Source organism: Homo sapiens, chromosome 22 (genome assembly GCF_000001405.40).
Source record: "Homo sapiens chromosome 22, GRCh38.p14 Primary Assembly".
NCBI classification, from domain to species: Eukaryota; Metazoa; Chordata; class Mammalia; order Primates; family Hominidae; genus Homo; species Homo sapiens.
This window is the reverse complement of record NC_000022.11, coordinates 28,900,002-28,924,327: the sequence shown is the minus strand read 5'-3', so window position 1 is coordinate 28,924,327 and position 24,326 is coordinate 28,900,002. Positions and strand designations below refer to the sequence as shown.

The 24,326-nt window shown below is 45.7% G+C and overlaps 1 protein-coding gene across 2 annotated transcripts in view, besides 2 other annotated features; it reads right to left on the bottom strand.

The window, feature by feature from the left end:
• Positions 1 to 24,326, bottom strand: part of ZNRF3 (zinc and ring finger 3) — a 173,917-nt gene that overhangs the window by 133,161 nt on the left and 16,430 nt on the right. Inside the window, exon 1 of one of the 2 annotated variants that reach the window (NM_032173.4) lies at positions 6,847 to 6,939. The exons of the other annotated variant lie outside the window; for it this stretch is intronic. The gene's annotated coding sequence lies outside the window, so the exon portion shown is untranslated. Of the gene's footprint in view, positions 1 to 6,846; positions 6,940 to 24,326 lie in introns of those variants that run through there. 2 annotated transcript variants of the gene reach the window in all.
• Positions 19,266 to 20,465: an enhancer, noted in NCBI's record as "CDK7 strongly-dependent group 2 enhancer chr22:29299851-29301050 (GRCh37/hg19 assembly coordinates)". NCBI's record gives its function as "activates an origin of replication core promoter dependent on BRD2, BRD4, P300/CBP, MED14 and CDK7 cofactors, with strong dependence on CDK7, by STARR-seq in HCT116 cells {active_cell/tissue: HCT116}" and the evidence as "EXISTENCE:reporter gene assay evidence [ECO:0000049][PMID:35650434]".
• Positions 20,829 to 21,642: an enhancer, noted in NCBI's record as "H3K27ac-H3K4me1 hESC enhancer chr22:29298674-29299487 (GRCh37/hg19 assembly coordinates)". NCBI's record gives its function as "activates a minimal SCP1, AML or CMV promoter by ChIP-STARR-seq in primed H9 embryonic stem cells {active_cell/tissue: H9 hESC(primed)}" and the evidence as "EXISTENCE:reporter gene assay evidence [ECO:0000049][PMID:30033119]".

Below are 24,326 nucleotides of genomic sequence, written 5' to 3'. Positions count from 1 at the left end.
AAAAAAATTACTCTTAACAGAAACAGGTTGTCTTTTATGGAAGATCTACAAGCCCGCCTGAAAATTCTAGTCACTTGCAGCATTCCTGCCCTACCATGGACCCACCAGGCCAGAGTGGAGCCCTCCAGATGCTGCGTGCCCTCTGCAACACATGCTTCACCTCACTAAACAAACAAGGGGTGTCTTTGTTTAAATTTAAAAAAAGAACCTGTCTCACAGGCTACGATTACATCAGCAGAGAGCTCTCATTCTGGGCATCAATCCGGGCTGCTCCACTGGCTTTGAAGCACCCCGGTGCGCGGCGCCTTTGATCTTGTGGTTCCCGCCCGGGGCAAAGCCGATACCATCACAGCGCCCACGCGGGATCCGAGATCATCATGATTGCCCGGCCAGCGCAAAGCCATGGCCTCGCCCGCTCGGTCCCCCACCCCACTTGGGCTCCACCCCAGACCCAGCCTCTAGACGTGGCTGCCAGTGCATGAGCAGTGAAACACATACACCATCTCTCAGGGAGTGTGGGGTTGCCCCTTGGGAGGGGACATCACTAGCTTAACATTTGTGGGAACAGCCTTGAGATCATGTTTTTTAAAAAGAAGCTTTTATAGATATTTTAGAAATATTTACGGGCAGGGAAATGATATGGCTGGCTTTGCTTCAAAATAACATGAGGGTGGCATGGGGGTGTAAGTGAAACAAGCGGGGCCAGGTGTTGACAACTATTTTGGGTGATGGTGAGTATATGGAGGGACGGTGTGTACATAACATGTTCTATCTATTGGAGTCTACATGTAACATTTCCTATAATAAAAGCTTGAAAAAAAAAGGAACTTCTGACCCTTTGCTATTTTTAAAGTTTATTCCTTGCTTACTTTTAAGAAGGAAAAAAAGCCGTTTGAGACTGGCGGGTGTGAGGGTAGATCACATCTGACTTTCCTAATGTGTCCCCAGGACACTCACTGGAGCTTCCAGAGGGGTGCAGGCCACAGACACAGCTTCTCCAGTACAATCCCTGCATGGGGAGGGGCATTAGCGGCACCTCTATCAGGGGATCTTCACCAGTTTTGGGATGTAGAGTCCATCTCTCCAGAAAAATACCCATGAACACAGCAGACCAGGAGGAAATACAAGAACCCACTCTCAAAAATCCACTACTTACAGAAATCAGATTAGAAATGGCCCCTGGAGTAAGCGCCCCAGGTTGCTTCATTTTATCAACTCCTTTCCTTTAAGAGCTACAGGCACTTGATGAGCCACTGAACTCCCAACACCAACATATGGGGCCATCACGGGGCACAGCACATCCCTGGGGCTATGTCACAAGGCCAGTTTTTCTCCTTACTGGATGTACAGCCTTGGATAAGTCACTTAACTTCTCCAAGCCGGTTTCCACATTTTAAAAAGGGAGCACTATTCATGCTGGCCCTGTGTCTTTACACCTCTTCTGCTACACGTTTAACTCAGGAGTAAGAAAAGAAAAAAATGCTAAGAAGGAAAAGGTTATATGGGGGCACAAGCATGATTCCACCCACAGCTGTGGCGGAACATGCCACATATAGATCGGGCACAAAAGAGTTAACTGGGAAACGGACATGGGCCAGGACTGCTAGGTGTGTTCAAGGCCAGAATTTCATACACCCAAGGCCAGAACGCAGAGGGACTGGGAGGGGATGGAGAAGGGAAAACAAATCTTTCCCATACAGGTGGATCCACCTTTGGGAGGTCAAACCTAAAATTCCAGTGGAAGCCATCAACCTAACAAACTACAGAAAGGGTCAAGAAAACAAAATATATTATCATAATGGCTAAAAAAGATTAGAAGTATGTTCAAGAACACAATTGTAACAGTGCGAATACGGATCCAAGAAATTACTTAGAGAAAAAGTTATAAGAACAACAAAGTAAAAAAGTAAACAGGCATCTAGGGTGCTAAATAGCAACAACAGCAAATTTTAAATAACATGCATTTATTTACTTTCATCTTGAAGGGGTCTAGGTCAAAATTTTCACTATAGACTGTTTGCCAGCAAAATTACACAAACAAAAAAATAATTACAACAAACTAAAATTCCCTGATTCATTCAAGTAACCCGATTTAAAGTAAAGGTTAAACATCCTTAACTGAAAAACGCAAAATCCAAAAGGCTTCCAAATCTGAAGCTTTCTGAGCACCAACATGACACCACAAGTGGAAATTCCACACATAAGTACTTAAGAGGAACTTTGTTTCATGCACAAAATTATTAAAAATACTGTATAAAATTACCTTCAGGCTATGTGAATAAGGTGTATATGAAACAAATGAATTTCATGTTTAGACTTGAGTCTCACCCCCCAGACATCTCATTATGTATATGCAAATATTCCAAAATCCGAAACACTTCTGGTCCCAAGCATTTAGGATAAGGGATACTCAACCTATATATTAATCCTAACGTAGCACAGATCCTATTAAAAATCTCTCTAGTTAATCATTTTATTCCTTTTTGGGGAAACTAATTTCTTCCATTCCTATTAACAGTTAGAAAGATAATAGCATTTCAGTCCCAGATCTTTGCACAGCATACAACCTAGGCCCTGTGGAATGCTGTGGGGGAATATGAAACAGTTCAGAGGGGAATACGAAGCAGTTCAGAAGGCATGCTGTTGACCTCAGTGAACTTACAATCTAGTTAGGGAGACAGACACATCTACAAGTTAAACAACACAAAACAATATTAAGTGTCAAATGAGTTGCCAGACCAGATTGTTTCAGGTTCGGAGGCAGCAGAGGCAACTGGGTGCTGCATTAGTCCAACAGAGCTTCCTGGAGGCAGCAGCATTGAAAGATGGGCAGAATGTGGGCAAAGATGCAAATAAAGGCCAAAGCTCATTCGGAGGAGCCCTTTGACTAGAGGCAAGGGGCTCTGTGGTTGGATGCCAAAATGCAAAGACAGACTGGGCACAAAATGTCAAGGGCTTTAGAATATTAGGGGAAGGCGGGGTTAGACTCCATCCTATAAGCAGTAAAAAGCTCTGAAAGGTTTGTGAAGGGGAGCACATCTGGCAGCCGAGTAGCAGAAGGGGAGAGGAGGTATGGAGCCCTAAGTGAAACAGACTACTAGGGGTGGGGGGGGCTTCCCACTTAAAAGAGAAATGACTGCCCCTCAATGAACCGGAGGGAACCATGTGCTGATGCTACCAGTTGTGGTTTGGTGGGGGTTTTTTAAACAATGGGGCAAAGATCAAAAGAAACTGTTTGCAAATGACAGCCCTCCTACTCCTCTGACTGGTCATTTCTATCCCTTTCATCTTCCCTCCTGTTTGAAATTCAGGTGAAAAGGAGAAGCATGTGGCCAGTGGGCTGGGAACCTGCCAGCCTGGCCCTGGGTCTAGCCCCGTGTGTGACTGGGGGCAAATCACTCAAACTTTCCCAGGCCTTGGTTTCCCCCATGAGCTAAGGAGGGTCAAGCACAGGATCTCAAGCCCCTTGAAGTAAGTGCCAAGTCTGGTTCTAGGCTGGGGAAAGACCAAAGCCTACAGCTAAGGATTCCAAGGGGTACAGGCTACCCGTCAATCCCTGACACCAAGACCTTCAACCGTAACAAAGCTGCAGTTACAGAGCAGCCATCTTCCCAACCCTTTCTAATGAGAGGGAAAAAAGCATAGCTATTGTAAAGTCAACACAGAGAATGAGAAATAAGAAAAGTTTCTTTTCAGTAACCGCAAGGCAAAACGCACTCATGTGTATTGAAATATAACTGATCAATAAGAGTCTGCTGGCCAGGTGCTGTGGCTCACGCCTGTAATCCCAGTACTCTGGGAGGCCGAGGTGGGTGGATCACTTGAGGTCAGGAGTTCGAGACAAGCCTGGCCAACATGGTGAAACCCCATTTCTACTAAAAATACAAAAATTAGCTGGGCGTGGTGGTGGGCACGTGTAATCCCAGCCACTCAGGAGACTGAGGCACGAGAATCGTTTGAACCCGGGAGGCAGAGGTTGCAGTGAGCCAAGATTGCCCCACTGCACTACAGCCTGGGCAACAGAGCGAGACTCTGTCTCAAAACAAAAAATAAAATAAAATAGGCCAGGCACGGTGGCTCACACCTGTAAACCCAACACTTTGGGAGGGGGAGGTGGGTGGATCCCCCAAGGTCAGGAGTTCGAGATCAGCCTGGCCAACATGGTGAAACCCCGTTTCTACCAAAAAAAAAATAGCTGGGCATAGTGGCGGATGCCTGTAATCCCAGCTACTCGGGAGGCTGAGGCACGAGAATTGCTTGAATCCAGGGTAGGTGCAGAGGTTGCAGTGAGCCAAAATTGCACCATTGCACTCCAGCCTGGGCAACAAGAGCAAAACTCCATCTCAAAAAATAAAATAAAAGTCCACTGATGAATATAACATGAGTCAAAACAGCCAGAATGAACAGAGTTCAATGTTCCACCTCTTTCCTTAAAAACAGCTTCTGATCAGGTTTGGGGCACAGAATTAAATTTCACCCCCTCATCGCTTATTGTAACTTACATCTCTTAAGAGTAAAGGGGGCCAGGTGTGGTGGCTCATGCCTGTAAGCCCAGCACTTTGGGAGGCTGAGGCAAGCGAATCACCTGAGGTTAGGAGTTCGAGACCAGCTTGGCCAACATGGTGAAACCCCACCTCTACTAAAAATACAAAAATTAGCCAGGCATGGTGGCACGCGCCTGTAATCCCAGCTACTCGGGAGGCTGAGGTGCAGTGAGCCAAGATCGCACCACTGCACTCCAGCCTGGGTGACAGAGTAAGACTCCGTCTCAAAAAAAAAAAAAAAAGTAAAGAGGCTAAAAGTCTAACCGGGTCTGTATTTCCATACCTGCATCAGTAGGTAAGAGGACCTTGGATAAGTCATCTCACTTTTTCCAGCCTCCCTTTCCTCATCTATTCAATGAGGACAACAGCAGCAACCAGCATAGGGATGTTATGAGGAATAAATGAGATCATTAATGTTGGGTGCTTAACCCAATACCTGGCAAAAGCCAACAATAAATGTTAGCTCTATGGTATTATTTTAGATCTGTCTAAGGGACACTCCTTGTCTAAGGGAGATAGGAAGTAGTGTAATAAGATGTAAGAAATCCATATGAAGGCATTTTCCAGGAAAGAAGGGACTGCAAACTCCAGTTCAGAAATAACTTGTGTGGTCCCCTCTGTGGGGAGAAACAGGTTGGCATTCTTCTCTAGAAAATAACAGCTGCCTCTCCTCCCATCTTGCCCCAACCCCTCCTTGGCTGCAAATACTCAAGGATTAAGAAGACATTCAAGCTTTGTTCCGTCTCATTTCTGCTCTGGCATTCTTCTCTTTGGCCTCTTTATCCTAAATGCCATTTCTGCTCAACTGCAGGCTTTACAGTAGAGAAGTGTCTTGCACTTTCTCAAGGTGCCCCCAATCCGGTATTTCCACCAGCCCAACTTTATTGATGGGAAACCCAAGGTTAAGAGAAGTCAGCACCACTGACTTCATGCCCAGCGTTCTTTTAGGCTGCTGTGCTTTGACCTGAATCAGAGATGGGATCAGTGGCAGCTTTCCTACCCCAGTAGGGAGCAAGAACAGGGCTGGCCACTTTAGGACGAAGTGGAAACATTGTAGCTTCGCACATACCCCAGGATACCACCCTGACTCAGACCCGCCCTAGGGAAAAGTGCCTTCAAAGGGATTCCAGCCACCAGGCAAGCTTGGTGGCTGTATTCTAACTATCTCTCTTGAAAAGAAATACTCCTTTTGAGGAGACTTTACACACACACACACACACACACACACACACACACACACACACACGCACACATGCAGATACACATACACACACGTGTGCATACACACACACGCACGCACCCACACATGCACATGCCAGCTGCAACTAGGCTCCAAGCTGTAACTATGTGAGGAGAACCACTCAGCTCTATAGGTTACGAGGAAGGCTGTGGGGCTCAGTCACCCAGCAAACTCCCTGGAAGAGAAATGCATTCAAGCCCCACTCCAGGTTTTATTCTTCACCAGGTTTTACCCTTCACCGCTTCTCCTAACACTTCAAAGGAAGTATTTTTGTACAGCCCAGGGAGGAGTGTAAACTGGCCAGCTGCTTCCAAAGCAGAGAAGTTAACCCTAAAAGGGCCGCTGGGCTGGCAGGGCAGGGGGAAGGCAAACAAGGTCGTGGGGAGTTGGGCATTTGAGTCCCCACACTTCGCCAGGCCTGCCTTTCAGCCCACACCAAGGGCACAGCTCTTAAACCACTACAGAAAGGCAGGACTTCAGTTCCTCTAAGCACGCAAACAGCTAGTTATAAATACCCTCCCAGGCTAGAGGTTCAAAGGATCCAGCAGTTAGCACTTCAATGGAAACTCCAGCTAACAGAACAGGCCTCTTGAGCACTGCTCACTGTTCAGTCCAGGCAAAGAAATGAAGAACCCAAAAGCTACCACCACAAAACCTGTCCCCAAAAGCCCAACTTGGCTTGGTGGCCAGGGGACAGCACGCCCTCTGCAGTGTTCTAACGACTGAGCCTGTTCTAAATGGTACCCTGTGGAGGGGGCCTCCCCTCACTGTGTACTCTGAATGGCAAGCCAGGAGATCCTTTCCAAGGGGCAGCTGAGGGAAGATAAAGACCCTATGTCCTTTTGGCCTTTTTAAAAGCTTTTTTTCTTTTTAAAGAGAGGGAGTCTCACTATTGCCCAGGCTGGATTCAAACTCCTGGGCTCAAAGGATCCTCCCGCATCAGCCTTACAAGTAGCTGGGACTATAGGCACCCAGCTATAAGAGCTTTTATATACTCTTCAAATTCTTCAGCCTACAGAGAGTATATCTTACCCAAATTTAGATTTAACATTCTTCAGTTACCTTGTTGAAATGAGGGGATCCTTCCTAGTAAGATTAAGTGGACACCACACAGGACACTCCCCAGCTCACCAGTGATGCAGCAAACTTCTGTGCACAGATGGCTGACAACACAGCCTCCTGAGGAGTTGGCAGTTAGATCAGAATGGGCTTCTCTCAAGAGCACACATACCTAGTGTCGTGTGTGTGTGTGTGTGTGTGTGTGTGTGTGTGTGTTTTATCCCCAACCACTCCATCGCAAAGGACATGGACTCTACTGGAACCCCAAGACATCCTGGCAGTCCTTAGTTTCCTGTGGGAGTGCCAGGTGAGGACCTGGGAGCATTCAGGTGGGGCTGAGCTCCTGCCACCTGGCCGACGCTTCTAGGCAATCACACAGTGGCAGGCAGATGAGCGTTCACCCCATCCACTGGCAAGGGCATCCTATAATTTACTGACACTGAAAAGTATGCTATAAATAGTTGGTATTTTTAATGTTGTCGGGCCTCCAGAATAGAGGGGGCCTAACAGCTGTGTGGGGCCAGGGTTCCAGGCATCTAAAGGCTACAATTTGGAAATCCTGGGCGGTATAGTCAAAGCATCTTCAAAGAAAGGAACTCCAAGAGCGTCACACTCCATCTAAAGAGACTACGGTAAGGAGAAAAAGCCTGTCAAAACTATCAGTCAGGACTTACAAACCACAATTTAGCAGAAGAGTGAACAGCACTGAGGGTCTCTTTGTGGGGAGCTCCACAATTCAAAAGCAAAAGGGACAGCGGCCAGAATAATCCCTAAACCCCAAGCTGCCAATTCTACCAAAGACACAACAGGATGCTCCTGATTAAATAAGCACAAGATGATTAAGAGGATGCCTTTAGTCACTCAACAATTTTTTTTTAACCTTCACTCTGCTAAGTGCTGAAAATGCAAAGAACAAAACATATGAGCTTTTTTGACACAATTTTTGGTGCACAAGGGCAATAAAAAGTAAACAATTTCCAAAAGTGAAGAGAATAACTAATAATTTTAAATCTAACTACACTACAGGTTGGCATGACATTATGAACCTAAAATGAGTTATACTCCAGTAACTGAGTTATTTCTACCCTCTCCAGACAGCAATTACATTTAAAAAATAAAAATCTCAGCCAGGCATGGTGGCTCATGCCTATAATCCCAGCACTTTGGGAGGCTGAGTCTGATCCCTTGAGTCTAAGAGTTCAAGACCAACCTGGGCAACCTAGTGAGACCTCGCCTCTACAAAAAAATAAACAAAATTAGCCGGGCACAGTGGCACCTGCCTGTAGTCCCAGCTACTCGGGAGGCTAAGGTGGAAGAATTGCTTGAGCCCAGGAGGGGGAGGCTGCAGTGAGCTGTGATGGCACCATTGTACTCTGGCCTGGGCAACAGAGCAAGACCCCATCTCAAAAAAATTAAATGTAATTTAAATTTAAAAAATAAAAATCTCTACATTCATTTATTCTTTTGAAATAACCCTCCCAACTAGGTTTCCTAAAACTAAAAAAGTATGAAGGAAGGGAGGAAGGGTGGTGAACAAACTTAGACCTTGAGCACTTACTAACTCTAACGTAAATGCTTAAGTCAAAAGAAGACATAAAGTTAGCACTGGATGCATGGGGTGGGATATGGGGGCGGTGCCCGTGTGTGTGTCAGTGGTCAGACCTACTCAGGCAAAATTAAAGACAAATATCTTAAAGCTGTTACTGAAACTGTACAGTCTGATTTTTAGCCTTTTAATCTTTTTCGGAAATCATCAAAATTGTTTGCTTGGGCAGACATTAGAATGAATTCTATCTATAATATCACGGGTAGTCCAAAGTATTCCACTTTGTCCTTCCAAAACTAAGGCAAGTCCAGAAGATTCCAAGATGGTGAGGGACTTCAAAACCATCTCATATAAAGAACGGAAAGAACTGGGGGTTCTCAGCAAGGAAAAGACAAGTGACAAGAAAATCACCTTCAGAAATCTGGAGGGTCATCATGTCTTAATGGCTCTGTGTTATGGGCAGAGTTCTGTCTCTCAAAAATTGATATGTTAAGGTCCTAACCCCCAGTACCTCAAAATGTGACTACCTAGAGAGAGGGTCTATAAAGAGGTGACCAAGTTAAAGCAGGTCATATAGGTGGGCCCTAATACAATATGAGTGGTGTCCTTATAAGAAGAGAAAATTTGGACACAGACAGTTACAGATGGAAGGCCACGTGAAAACATAGGAAAACCATCACTTTATAAGCCAAGGAGACAGGCCTCAGAATAAATCAACCCTGATCACCTTGATTCTGGACTTCTAGCCTTCAGAATCATGAGTAAATATGTCTGTCATTTAAGCCACCTAGCCAGTGGTACTTTGTTATAGCAACCAAAGGATACTTAATATACTCTAGAAGACAGAACCAGAACCAAGGAGCAGAAGAAATTTGGTTCAGTGTAAGGAAGAACGATTTCTGATAATCTGCATCTGCAAAAAGAGAACGCCTCCCCTCTGGGGTTTGGGGGTATGACAGGGGATGGGTCCTGAACTAAGGCTAAGCCCTACCATTAATACACAGCAGAGCCTGGGGCCTCATCGAAAGCTAGAGGCAAAAGGCTGAATGTCCCAGGCTAGACAGAGCTCAGCTGCCAACAATATCCATCAGGTAGGTTAACCTAATTTTTTTTTTTTTTTTTTTGAGACGGAGTTTCATTCTTGCTGCCCAGGCCGGAGTGCAATGGCGCCATCTCGGCTCACTGCAACCTCCGCCTCCCAGGTTTAAGCAATTCTCCTGCCTCAGCCTCCCGAGTAGCTGACAATATAGGCATGCACCACCATGCCTGGCTAATTTTGTATTTTTAGTAGAGACGGGGTTTCACCATGTTGGTCAGGCTGGTCTCAAACTCCTGACTTCAGGTGATCCTCCCACCTCGGCCTCCCAAAGTGCTGGAATTATAGGCGTGAGCCACCGTGCCCGGCCTCCAACTTTTAAAGTTTAAAAAAAAAAAAAAAAAAAAGCTCTATGTCAACAGTCTATGAAATATGACACATATTTGGAGAAGAATTTAAACTCCTCATCTCAGTTTCCTCTTAGCATCTCAATGGGGGATATCTCAGCCCCGCTTATGTCACACACATCCTTCCTATGGGCAGCTAGAGTCAGCAGAGCCTATTTACTCTTCCCTGCATTAACCAAGGTAGACTAACCCGGAAAATGCACTTCCATTCAACTCAGCCCAGCACTTCCAAGGCACCAGGTCTCCAAAACCAGATAGCCAAGCTCAAGGCCTAAGAGTCACAGAAGGTGGCCACCTCGAAATCCAGGATGCCAACCCAGCAGTGGGGGCCTGCAGATCAGCCAGAGGGAGTTCTCCTTCCAGAAGGAACCAAATGTTCCCCAGTACTTTGGGTCCTTTGAGAAAAAGGAGTTCTGGGATCAAATACATCTGGAAAGTACCAGAAGGAGTTCTTATCATGCATTTCATCCAACTCTAAAATGTCTACCTTGCGGGGAGTCTAAGAGACTTTCACACATAGTACATTACACACAGAGGCGGGGCAAACGAAGAGGCATTTAGGGCTGCAGGGGTCGGGGGGACTCCTCTATCTTATCTGCCCGCCATCACAGTACCCAAAGTTTGGTAAGTCAAGTCACAATAAAGGCTGCCCCTGCTTCCTGTGGCCCCCACCTGCCTACAAGACAGGCTACAAAATGCCTACAAGACAGGCTACTTGACATTATTTCATACCTACTTGGACGGTGGTACTGTTTAACTCCTTCATGAATCTTCCCATTCCAGTAGAAATTAAATTCTTCAAAGAGAAGCACTGTTTCTTGGTTCTTTTATACTACAACTCCCTATACCCCATCACCCAATTATAGAGAAGACCACAAATCTAAGCTGAAATGGAAGAAATAGTCCTACCACAGTTCAAAGGTGTTCAGGCCATTCATTCTAGGTGGTGATGACTCTATCCCAGGGCCCTGTGGAAAGCTGGTAGTTAACTTGGTGTTGGCCTTCCATCCTCATAATCTAACAGGACACCAACTGAACCAGTGCAGACCCTAAACTAACCTAATACTGGCTACCCGCCACTCCATATCCCCTAGCACCTTGAGTCCTTTGAGAAAAAGTTCTGTGATCAAGTACATTTGGGAAGTACCAGATTAAATAAAGTGAAAGACCGCTCTTCAACAGAATTTCTCAGAGCCATTAATTCACTACTGTGCAGAATATATCTCTAAGAGAAAACTAGGATCAACAGTATTTCTCAAATACTGAGCCCCACCATTAATGCATAGCATAGATCCTCATAGAACCCTTTCACCACAGAACATTGTGCAGGACTGCTGTTCTTCAGGCGATGCCTTGAGAAAAGCTCATCTTGGGCATACTCCAGAAAAATGTGCAATTGGCTTAAGAAAGTATACATCTATTTTAATACAAGTGTACCCAATGTTCTAAAAATCCACAACTTCCCAAGCCAAGATAAATCAAGCCGCTCAGTAAAGACTCAAATCGGCAAGGATTCGAAAACTGTGTCCCTGCCGGGTGCGGTGGCTTACGCCTGTAATCTCAGCACTTTGGGAGGCCGAGATGGGTGGATCACCTGAGGTCAGGAGTTCAAGACCAGCCTGGCCAACATGGTGACACCCCATCTCTACTAAAAATACAAAAAATTAGCTGGGTGTGGTGGTGGGCGCCTGTAATTCCAGCTACTTGGGAGGCTGAGGCAGGAGAATCACTTGAACCCGGGAGGCGGAGGTTGCAGTGAGCTGAGATTGAACCATTGCACTCCAGCCTGGGCAACAAGAGCAAAACTCCGTCTCAAAAAAAAAAAAAAAAAAAGAAAGAAAAGAAAACCGTGTCCCTGAGCCTAGATGGACGGTCTTTGTGGATCTCCAAAAGAACTGGAGAGTGGCAATTCTCCCTATCTTATCCAGACAATAATGAAGTTAAGGCGAGCCTCAGCCTCCCTCCCCTGGAGTGTTTGTGCTACAGCTGACATCTTTCCTAGGGACAATAATTGAGTGCTTTAAGAGGCGGGCTCCTTGATCCCCGGATGTAATCCAGCATAGCTAAAAGATAAGAGATAAGATCAAGCTTAAAAAAAGAGTTACTTAAGCAGAAGGGAATAAAGGTCACAAGGAGCTGATACTATGAGAAGCCGGGTTAAGATGAAAACCAAAAATTAAACATTCTAAAGAAAATTCTGCCTGGACTGGCCCAGTCCATTCTGCACCTCTTGCCCTAAATAAAAAAGCTGACACGTGCTTTGGTTCTGGCCAGAGCAGGCAATGTTTCTGGAACAACTTCACCTTGGTTACATATTTCTACTTTAAACATTCCAAAGTTGCTGAAGGCCTCCCAGGAGCATCTGCTCCTGTTTCTCGGGAGGGAGTTAGTTCCTGTGGAAAGTGTTTGTTTAGTTTGATTACAACTTTGAAGAGGGCTAGGAATTCTGGCTCAGAAGAATTTAATGGCCGGGCCCTTCTCTTACATAATTTGTAAACAAACAAAGTTTATCCCAGTGTGGCTCATTTGGCTCACTGGCTGGATTTAGAAAAATATATTCCTCATTCATTTGGGGGAAGCCGCAGTAAGGCCTGTCAATAACCAGAAATGTCTAAACCAGCCTACCACTCTATTGCCTAATCCTAAAGGACCATGTTCAAGAGAGCACACTCACTATCTCCCTTCTGAAACCCAGGGCAGTCAACAGATGGAGCCCAAACTGAGGGGTTAGGGGCAGGACTCGAAAGGCAACTGAGGAATTGCTCCCCAGAAGTTTCTACATACTCATGATATATAAAAAAAAACTCTCAGAAAAAACAAAGTGCTAACCAAGGTCAAATGCCATGGCAGCAATTTTCTTCCAAGGTGTCATGAATGGTCAAGTGTACGGGTAGAAAGCTATTTGTTACTAATAACAGCTAAAGGCCAGAGTTGGCATGTGATTTATTTATCTTTAATAAAGTGAATTCAAGGTTGTCACTAGAACATCACTTACTCCCTTACATTCCAGACTGTTCTCAAGAGAGGAGTGACTGCTGGAAAACTGCCCCTGAATAAGCCTGCCGACTGCTGTGCAGTGAGGGCTGCAATTACATACCATGCTGCTGGAGGACACAGGGCAGGCGGGAGTTGTGTCACCAAAAACACGGTCATGCACATAGACATCACCTATATTCTGACTATGGGACCCACTGGTCTCCATGATAAAAGTCACATACCCTTTTCTGGCATTCAAAGCCCCTCTTATCCCTCCCCTAACTTGCCCTCCAAAGTTCTTTCCCTCCCCAATTCCCCAGTTAGTGTGCTTCTTCCCCACTTACACTTCTGTCCCCAGACATCCTTCAGAGGCACAGCTGCAGATCCCCCAATTCCCCCCAGGAATCTCATCTAGCCCCACACCCAGTTTGCAGATGTGGAGACTGAGGCTCAGAAAGGCTGAATCCAATAGATCCCACTTAAATGACAGACCAGAGAGCATAGCAGATCTGTTGTCTCCCAGCCGCACCTCACTTGGCCTCTTCTTTCTCCCCGCCCTGCCATGGGCACATTCTATGCCAGGCAGCCTCCAGGTCTACACAAGCTAGAAAAAGCTCCACTAGTTGCCAGCCTAGCCTGGGTCTCAGCAAGAAATGCCTTCCCCATAGCAAGAGCCAGCAGGAGCAAATCCAAGCACCAATCTTCCTTAAGAGTCCAGCTGGAGGTCCACCCCCAAGACCTTTCTCTGATTTCTAGGCACTTTCTCTGGGCCCCAAGCATTTGGCACTCAGCCTATGCATGTTATACTGTCACCATCTCAGGGACACATCTGACTTTCCCACTGGTCCATAAGCCCTCCCTCAACAGACATGCAGGAGGAGGCCAGCATTCACTCGGTGATTCTGTGAACACTATTCAGAAAATATTCAGTGCCACATCCATCAACCCTTGCCAGAAAATAAGAGGACATTAAAGCTGGCACTCAGAAAGCAAACCACAGCCAGACACACCTTGAAACATCCAAAGCCTGTTGCAGACCTCACTTTTGTACCCAATAATTCGGTAACAAAGTGGACCATCATGAAGAGGCCAAGACTGCTTACGTCCTCTAGGAAAGGACAGAACTAAGTTACTTTGCTTTTTTTCTTACTATCTTCCAGATCCAAAGTCTGATGGAGAGGCTGGGCATGGTGGCTCATGCCTGTAATCCCAGCACTTTGAGAGGCCCAGGTGGGCAGATCACTTGAGGTCAGGAGTTCGAGACCAATCTGGTCAACATGGTGAAACCCCGTCTCTACTAAAAACACACACAAAAAATTAGCCGGTTGTGGTGGTGGGCACCTGTAATCACAACTACTCAGGAGGCTGAGGCAGGAGAATCGCTTGAACCCAGGAGGCAGAGGTTGCAGTGAGCTGAGATTGCACCACTGCATCTCAGCCTGGGCAACAAGAGCAAAACTCTGTCTCCAAAAAAAAAAAAAGTTAATGGAGAAAGTGAGGCTCCCAAATACAAATCAGGCCAGGTGCAGTGGCAGGAAGATCATTTGAGGCCAGAAGTTCAAGACCAGCCTGGGAAACATAGTAAGACCCCTGTCTCTAGAAAAAAAAAATTAAATTAGCTGGGCGTGACCAGCCATGGTGGCTCACACCTGTAATTCCAGCACTTTGGAAGGCCGAGGTGAATGGATCCCTTGAGCCCAGGAGTTTGCAACTAGCCTGAGCAACATGGTAGAACCCTTTCCCTACCACCAAAAAAAAAAAAAAAAAAAAAATTAGCCAGGCATGGTGGCATGCGCCTATAGTCCCAGCTACTCAGGAGGCTGAGGCAGGAGGATCCCTTGAGCCTGGGTGGTGGAGGCTTCAGTGAGCTGAGATCACGCCCCCGCACTCCAGCCTGGGTGAAATCAAGTTTCATCTGATTCATTTTATGAATGAGGAAAGTATGTGGGCTAAAGGAAGGCGCTGTTTTCTTTTCACTGAACTACATTTCTAGGAAGATAAGCATGCAGACCTGATTTGCATAGTCACTCTGTATCAGCAAGGGAAAGTTTTGGTTTGATTATTTTCTGAGAAAAAAAAAAATACCATGAAAATCATCCTGATCTGAAGGCGGAGTCCACAGTAAGGTTAGTAAACAGGCCCAACACGCCCCCAGGAGAGGTCCATGCTTAAAAGCTGTTAGCCCCAAGTTGCTGTCCATTCCCAAAGAGCAACTCTTCCATAGGTAGCAATAGTTAAAATCAGGAAGAGCTTCAAAGCTCTAAAAAGTGGCTCAAAATCAAAAGACTTTCTTCAGACAAGTGTGCCTAAAAAACCCAACAGAGGCTGGGCGCGGTGGCTCACGCCTGTAATCCTAGCACTTTGGGAGGCTGAGGCAGGCAGACTCAGGAGTTCGAGACCAGCCTGGGCAACATGCTGAAACCCTGTCTCTACTAAAATACACACACACAAAAAAAATTAGCTGGGTGTGGCAGCGTGCACGTGTAATCCCAGCTACTCAGGAGGCTGAGGCAGAAGAATTGCTTAACTCAGGAGGCAGAGGTTGCAGTGAGTCGAGATCGTGCCACTACACGCCAGCCTGGCAACAGAGCAAGACCCCATCTCAAAAACAAACAAACAAACAAACAAAACACCCAACGGAGACACCAGGCCCTCATCTGGGGACCAATGGTCTCTACTAGACCAATAGCTTCATCTTTGCTCTCCACCCAGACAAATCTAATCACCGCTTTAAAAAACACAAACTGAAAGCACAGGTCTTATCATTGTATTATTAATGCAGGCCTTCTTTTTCTTTAGCAAAAGCAAATTTGCATCCAACTGACCGCGCATCCAGCAATCCGGCTAAGTCTAAAGAAGGAGAGCCAATGCAGAATGGATTTTGCTTCTGTTCTTAGTTTTGACATCCAGGGAATGGGGTGACATGCCCCATAGGACACAGGGCAAATGATGCTCCACAAGGATCATTTAAAAAAGCAAACATCACCACGTACAGGCCCCAGTGGTTACTAATTCAACCCTCTTGGACTTCTTTTTCCCTAAAGGTTGCTAGTTAGTGACTCTCGCATATCCCCACCAAAAGAGACTTGCACACGGCCCAACGCTAGTTCAAGATGTGTTTCTAGATATTACTGCCTTCTCTACAGCATGATTGGCATGCAACATACACCAAGGACAAAAGGAGGCCACCAAGACTCCCAGGAGAAGGTAAGTTAACATAGAGGGTTGTTGAGGGTTCTTTGGAAAGAAAGCTGAGCTTCACTTCATTCTCAATCACCTTATGGAGATGACTTGCAGCCAATTTCCATTGCATGCTGCATTTTCTCTGTCATTTTGCTTTCTTCCAAACCATCTTTTCAGTTTTTGTTTTAGCTGAACAGAAGCTAGTTTTAATGTGAAATTAAACATGCTATTTAAAGAAAGCATGAATAAGAGTTGAATATAAATGACCTACTCCAGTGGTCCCTCCAAACAGCCAAATAAAAAATTAACATTATTTTCATGATCCAAAAGTAGAGCATCATGTTAGCTTCAAATCAATAGTGCATTTAGAAAACGCCCACTTCCCTCTGAAAGCTTGCTTGCTAATTCAAAAGGAAAGACATAGAAATGACCTCAAATCTATTTTAGAGGCTTGTAACTATACAAAGACAACCACAAATGCTTTTCAATTGTATCTTTTGTTCTAGATTCAATATGTTACCAATCAACTCAGCAAGTGAAAGTGTGCTGACACCACTCTGCACCATGCGCTGTGGGCAGGGAAAAAGTTCTACCACATAACCATCCCCACTGATTGCAAAGGGGTACAGGGGTGTGGAGAATGGGACTTATGTTTCAAGACAGCCAGTGACTCAGACAATGAAACTCTGCAGAGAAAAAAGCTAGTACCAGTAATCAAATCTAAATATGCTGCTGGGTTGGAAAACCAAATGAAAGCAAAATCTTATCAACAAATCCCCATGGAACCAGACCATGAAAGGCACGGACACCATCTGGGCACTGTGGGGAACCATGCGGCCACCACCTGCTCCCTTGGTGAGTCGCTTGTACATTCTCAAGGACCATAAAGTTTTCATGTAGAAGAGACCAGAGAAATTGGAGAAAATTAGATAAGATTAAAATGAGAGTTGAAGGACAGCACAAGGCCATGTAAGATACATGGTCAAATGCAGTGTGGCTGTGCCATTTGGCACCTTGGCATTTTATGTGAAAATGACTCCATGTGGCCAGGCACGGTGGCTCATGCCTGTAATCCTAGCACTTTGGGAGGCCAAGGTGGGCAGATTGCCTGAGCTCAGGAGTTCGAGACCAGCCTGGGCAACATGGTGAAACCCTGTCTTTACTAAAATACAAAAAAAAAAAAAAAACTGGACGGGCGTGGCGGCGTGTGCCTGTAGTCCCAGCTACTCGGGAGGCTGAGGCAGGAGAATTGCTTGAACCCGGGAGGCGGAGGTTGCAGTGAGCTGAGATGGTGCCCCTGCACTCCAGCCTGGGCGACAGAGCGAGAGTCCATCTCAAAAAAAAAAAAAAAGAAAGAAAGAAAGAAAAGAAAATGACTCCGTGAAAATCTTTCTTCAGGTGGCAATTAACATTTTAGCTCAAATTCTCCCAAGAAGGGAAAGAGAAAATTGGGAGGTGAGGGGGAGCTGGCAGCAATCAGTGTGATCCAGTGGCTCTGCCAGCGCAGGGTAAGCACTCAATACATATCTGCTGAATGAAAGAAAATAAAAATCCAAGCCAGTGGTTTCTGCCCTGGGTTCCTACTCAGCACCAGCACGTCTCTCTATTGTAGCTGCCAAGTCGTCTTCTAATAGGTGGTTTACCTGATGCTTTCTTGCAGGACTATGAACCCTTTGAGAGTCACAATTTTGTAGCAACAGACACCAACCGAACATGTGTTAAGCACTTAATGTACACCTTACATATATCATCTAATTTTCATAGTCTTTTGGTCGTACAAGCTATCTGTCCCATGTTATAGATGAAGAAGCAGAGGTTCAGAGAGGTTGGATGACCTGGCCAAGGTCACAGAGCTGTCAGTAGCAGGGCTGAGATGCAAAACACAGGCCTATCTGGTCTCAGGGATGTACTCTCCACCACTATGCCCCTTACATGGCAAGAATCTGGTCAGCTCTGAACTCTCACAATGCAACATACAGTAGATTTTAGCCTTGAGAGGTTTCTGTTTTGTTTTGGAGACAGATCACTGTCACCTAGGCTGGAGTGCAATGGTGCCATCTCAGCTCACTGCAGCCTCTGCCTCCCAGGCTCAAGCAATCCACCTGCCTCAATCTCCTGAGTAGTTGGGACTACAGACGTGCACCACTACACTCAGTTAATTTTTAAATTCTTTTTGTAAAGATGAGGTTTCACCACGTTGCCCAGGCTGGTCTCAAACTCCTAGGCTCAAGCAATTCACTTGCCTCAGCCTCCTAAAGTGCTGGGATTATAGGCGTGAGCCACCATGCTTAGCCTCAACAGGCTTTTTTAGCTCTAAGAGGTTAGCAGACTGCCATTGGATTTACCTGCCTCCAATTACCTCATGGTGAGGCTATAAGACACAGTCCTGAGCTCCAGGCCAGCTTCTCCATTCACTCACCAGCTGTATAAACCTCTCTGCACTTTAGTGTCCTCATCTAAAAAAACAGATATGAAATATCTTATCGCTCAGAATCCTCTTAAGGATCTAGTGAGAAAAACAGTATAAGGTCCCAAGAATAGTGTATTCATTCATTCACACATTTCATCAACCACCTATGAGACCTTCAGCACTAAAAGGCTTCCACCTAATAGGAGGCACAGCCAGCAATGATGGAAGAAGCCATGATATCTTCTGGTCTTCTGTCTGCCAGGCCCAGGTAAGTAACAGCAGCTGAGAATTCAGTAATTTGGATTGTTTCACAAGCAGAATGTTTACCCAGAGGCCAAGCTGGAGGAAGCACTATCCTCTGTTCTATCATTTGTTTTGATTGGTACAAAGTTTCCTTTTTCTTTTTCTTAATGGCTTAACAAATCTATGTTGCAGCCCTGTTTTTCCCATCCCTGAGACCAAAATCTTTGATTCTCTGTTATTTTCAGCCAAGAAGTCTAACAGAGCCAAACAGAGCAAGCCTGAAATGATCAGGACAGAATTCTGTCTATCTGAATTTCCTGCCCCAGCTAAAACAGTATCTGCAAAACATACACTGTAAATCATAACTTGCTGAGGCCCCATCAGTGTCAATGCAGGCAAGCAGAGTAGGATATTACAGCCTGGTCATCCATAAAGAGACACATTCAAGGCCAGGTGAGGTGGCTCATACCTATAATCTCAGCACTTTGGGAGGCCGAGGCAGGAGGATTGCTCGAGCCCAGGAATTCGAGATCAACCTGGGCAACAAAGCAAGACCTCATCTCTATAAAAAAGTGAAAAAATTAGCTGGGAGTGGTATCAGGTGCCTGTAGTACCAGCTACTCGGGAGGTTGAGGCAGAAGGATCACTTGAGGAGATCAAGGTGACAGTGAGCTATGATCATTCCACAGCACTTCCAGTCTGGGTGACAGAGTGAGACCCTGTCTCAGAAAAAAAAAAAAAAAGACACTTTCACACAATGCCCAGGTCTGCATGATAGTCTGAAAGCTCTCAGGTCAGCCAAAGAACAGATTCCTGAGCCAGATTAGGAAAAAACTCAGCCTGAAGAAAGTCAAGGGATGAACAGAAGTGCCTTAAGCAATCTCAAGCAGGCAGGAGGATACAGAGAGGTAGCCTTTACCAAAGAAGCAAAAAGAAGGGTCAATCTCATGTGTGTGTGTGAATGCAGCCAGACAGCCTTCGCCAAAGCTGCAAAGGAAACAAAAATAAACTAAACAGGATAAAAGGAAGGCTGTTGCATGAGGAAGAACTTTTGCTCCAGTTAAAAGAGAGAGAGAGAGAGAGAAGAAAAAGAAAGCACACACTGAAATGATCTAAAGCTGCCTATAAATATTTGGGAACATCAAAGGCGGTCCTGTTAAATTAAAAATGCTGTCACACAGATAGGAACTAGCCTCTAGCACTGCCAGCTTCAACATGTGAGCCTGTGATCTGAGGAGCGAAGGCTCAGCTCCTCAAGAAATCTGATTCACTAAAGAAAAAAGTGAACGAGCAGTTGAGTTTTAATAAGGGCATTAAATACCTTAGGAATGAGCTAATTAGAGTTTAACTCTTTCAAGATTGTTCGAGCTCTTAAGAATGCTGTAAAGTAAGCTCCCTCCAGAATCTAGTTAAATCAGTCTCGAAGCCTGCAACGTAAAAGAACAGTATTAAAATAGCACCTTAGGACTTCAAAGCTGATCAATCCCACCAGGTCACTCAGACTTAAAGACAGAGGCCGAGTGAAGAGGAGCCAAGGTTAACTAGGAGTTGTTTTCTGGGGTGAGGTTAGGTTGCTTATTTAAATGCATTTTTTTTTTCCAGTTTAGACTAGATAAGAACAAGCTCACTCTCTAACGCCAGATTAATTCCACCCTGTGAGTATGCCCTTTACCCAAGACACTTTGAGGAGAGAGACAGGGTGTTGAGCGGGAAGGCCCACTGACCTCGCTGGCTTGCTAGCTCACTCACAGGCCACACAAGAAATTCTGGCTGAGCCTCTCAGACACACTCAAGGTCACCATGGGAAGTCACCCAACAGTTTTCCCTATACACATTCTGGATCAGAATCCCAAGAAATCCAGGACAAGTTCCCAGTTAGGAAAGTTCCATCAGGACGGCAAATCCTTTCTTTGGCCTTGACGTAGGAAGGAGTGGAACCTCTTGCGGAAAACACACAAAAAACACACCTTCAGAAAGGGGCAATTTCCTAGCACCTAGTTTCAGGAATGTTAGAGGAGGAGGTAGGCAGTGATGGAACTCACCTTCTCCATTCAAGGAGAGGAATGCAGAGCCCAGTCTTGCTGGAGGAGGGGTTCAGGATGGGGAGGGGATTTAAAAAAAAATTCTGCTCTCCAATCATTCCCATTTTTAGAAAAAGTCAATGTGTCTAATTTGGGGGGTTAAGATTAATAAAGTATTTGCTTTGGCAAAAATCACACGCTGGATCAAACCAAGCGCTGAAGTCACTTGTGCTTGCCCCAAGTCCCACGTAATTAGGCCCCCAGAGCACAGGCTTAGTATGTTGCAGCATTCCATGCGTCCGGCTGGATCCAGAGGAGCAATCAGCACCCTCCTTTCCTCGGAGCAACCAGGAACAACAAGCAGGCTGGCCTAGAAACACACTGGAGTCAAGAGTTCACATCCAGCTGTGCGTGTGTGTGTCTGTGTGTGCACACGTGCCCGACTGACAGAGCTTAAGGCCTGGACAATGATCTAGCTGTAGAGAGTAGGGATAAGCAGGTGAAGCTGCAGCAAAGCGTCCCTCCCAGGAAACAGAGGGAACTGGGAATCGGAGAAATGAGCAGCCTGCACCTCTTGCAAAGTGCTTAAGCACTACCCTGGGGAGCCCACAGACCCCCACACTAGGGGAGAAGGGACATAGGTGCAAGTAGAAAGGCACTAAGCATGTTAAAAAAAAAAATTCCTATGTTATGACCACTTCTCTTCTCAGTAAATGGCATTTTTGGATTCCTTTAACTTTGATAAGCTACCATTTTAGAATAAGAATTTGCAACCACTTGGGAACTGCAACATAAACGTTAGGTATATGTGAGGAGCAGCATGAAATTATGTATTTTCTTCAACCTCATCCCCACTAAATATAAATTGCATGCTGTGAGTAACTCATGTAATCCTCATAACAACGCTAGGAAAAGTTTATCTCCATTTTACAGATGCAGAAACTGAGATCCAGAGAGGCAAAGCCATCTTTCCACAGCAGGTAACTGCCAAAGCCAGGATTCAAACCCAAGCTGTCTGGCTCCAGACTCAGCACTCTGCAGCCTCTCCCATCAAAGGAAACCCAGAACCAATTTGTTCTGCAAAGTTTACAACATGCTTAAAGAACCTGGTGAAAAATACAAAAATCAGCAGGGCGCCTGTAGTCCCAGCTACTCAGGAGGCTAAGGTGGGAGGATCATTTGAGCGCAGGACAGGGAGTTCGTAGCGAACCAAGATCACACCACTGCACTCCTGCCTGGGCAACAGAGTGAGATCCCATCTCAAAAAAAGAAAAAAAAAAGGCCTGGCAAATGCTGGGTGTCTGCGTAGCAAAGTGGAAAACTACTGCTCTGTCCTCCCAACTCCTCTTAAATACAGTCAGCTAAAAGTTGTAGTTTGAAGAACTAAAGAGAACTTATACCCAAACCAGGTGAATGAAAGTTAACTTGCCAAGCGCGGTGGCTCACACCTGTAATCCCAGCACTTTGGGAGGCCAAGGCAGGTGGATCACCTGAGGTCAGGAGTTCAAGACCAGCCTGGCCAACATGGTAAAACCCCATCTCTACTAAAAATACACACATTCACTGGGCATGGTGGTGCACACCTGTAATCCCAGCTACTCAGGAGGCTGAGGCAGGAGAATTGCTTGAGCCCTGGAGGCGGAGGTTGCAGTGAGCCAAGATCATGCCACTGCACTCCAGCCTGGGTAACAGACGGAGACTCCATCTCCAAAAAAAAAAAAAAAAAAAAAGTTAACTTAAAAGTTGGTGATTAGGAATACTCACAAAATAGTGGTGCCATTTCTGCACCATAAAACGCCTAGCCACTAGCCTGGGCAACATGGCAAAACCCCATCTCTACTAAAAATACAAAAAATTAGCCAGGCGTGGTATTGCGCACGTGTAATCGTGGCTACTCAGGAGACTGAAGCAGGAGAATCGCTTGAACCCAGGAGGCAGAGGTTGCAGTGAGCCGAGATCGTGCCACTACACACTCTAGTCTGAGTGAGAGAGCAAGACTCTGTCTCAAAAAAAAAAAAAAAAAAAAAGGTCCATCCATCATTTATTACATGCCCCCAAAATTTGAGGACTCCATGCGCCAGTCAGCTGATCTCTAAAGAGGAGCCAGCAAAAAGCAGAAAAGCAGCCAAAGCAGCCACATACTAAACTACTTACACACCCCCTTGATGTCTCTGTCCCCTAACTTTACACATAATTCTAACAAACATGGTTCCCTGGTTTCCTAGGACTACAGAAATCAGAAGCAGCAAATCACAATTGCTGAAGGAGAAGCATTAGAGAAGGGGGAACAACTCAGGTGCCACGTCAGCCAACAGGGAGATGGAAGAGTGCCTTCTGGGCGTTGGCCTTATGCACCGCACAACTCTAGGAGGTGCCGTTCACATCTGTGCTCATCCTAGATTCACATTATGACCGATGAGCAGAAAATAGAATTCAGGTATCTTCAGGAAGGGACAGCTCTTCCAAATTCAAACAAAGAGGCTCTTTGAGTTGAACTGGGAAATGTTTTCTGCATTTAAAAAAAAATTATTTATTTATTTATTTATTTTTGTAGAGACAGGTCTCGCTGTGTCACCCAGGCTGGAATGCAGTGGCACTACCACAGCTCACTGCAGCCTCAACCTCCAGGGCTCAAGTGATCCTATCACCTCAGCCTCCCAAGTGGCTAAGACTACAGATGTGCACCACCATACCTGGCTAATTTTTTTAAAAAAAATTTGTTGTAGGAACAGTCTCGCTATGTCGCCCAAGCTGGTCTTAAACTCCTGGCCTCAAGCGATCATCCCACCTCAGCCTCCTAAAGCTGGTATTATAGGTGTAAGCCACCGCACCCAGCTGAAAAATGTTAAATAGATTGAAACACCAACCCTGCCCGGAAGGAGGTTACAATCTAATGGGGAGTTGGCTCCAAGTCAGCAAGCAAAGATTAAATCATTGGACTGCCTCCCTCTTCTGAAACAGTAAGTTTCTTTTCAAAGGGGTGGGGTTTTTACTTTTTTTGTGTGATGAGGCTTGAGGACAAGCCCTCCACAACAACAGACTGCCTGAGCTGTTGAACCTGGACAGGTGGCAGCTTCCAGAGACTTGGATCATCTTCTGTAAAGAGGCACTAGAACAGCAGATGCCACCTGCAAGTCACATCCCACTCTGCCATTCTGGGCTCTGATCTGGCTTACCAGACTTGATCAATTCCCTTCCAGACATTTTACTGCACAATACCAAGTACCATAGAATTAATCATGCAAGGCACCATTTGCAAAGAGGTAACAGCATTCCAGTGTGAGATGCCAGGGATGTTTCCTTCCTCTCATCCCAGTTCTGTCTGCCGAAGCTCGTGAGCAGGGCACCCTAACATCCCACTTATGGGTGATGGCACCTTCGACTGTGATCTTTGCTTATATACAATAGGGAGGAGCAAGGAAACCCCATCTTGGTATAAGGGAAAGTGAGGAATATAAATAAGGAGCTGGGGGAGGAGGAGTCCCCCATTTATCCTTCCTGTTTTTCTTTCCCTTCTCCCTCCCCCAATCAGTCATCACTAGGTTAGTTACCAGAGGGCAAGGGAGGTTGGCAGGAGTTGAGAGAAGAAGGTCTGTAATAGGAAGAGATAGAAGATCCCCTGTTTACCCTCCAACAAGTAGGGAAGAAATTCACACATGAA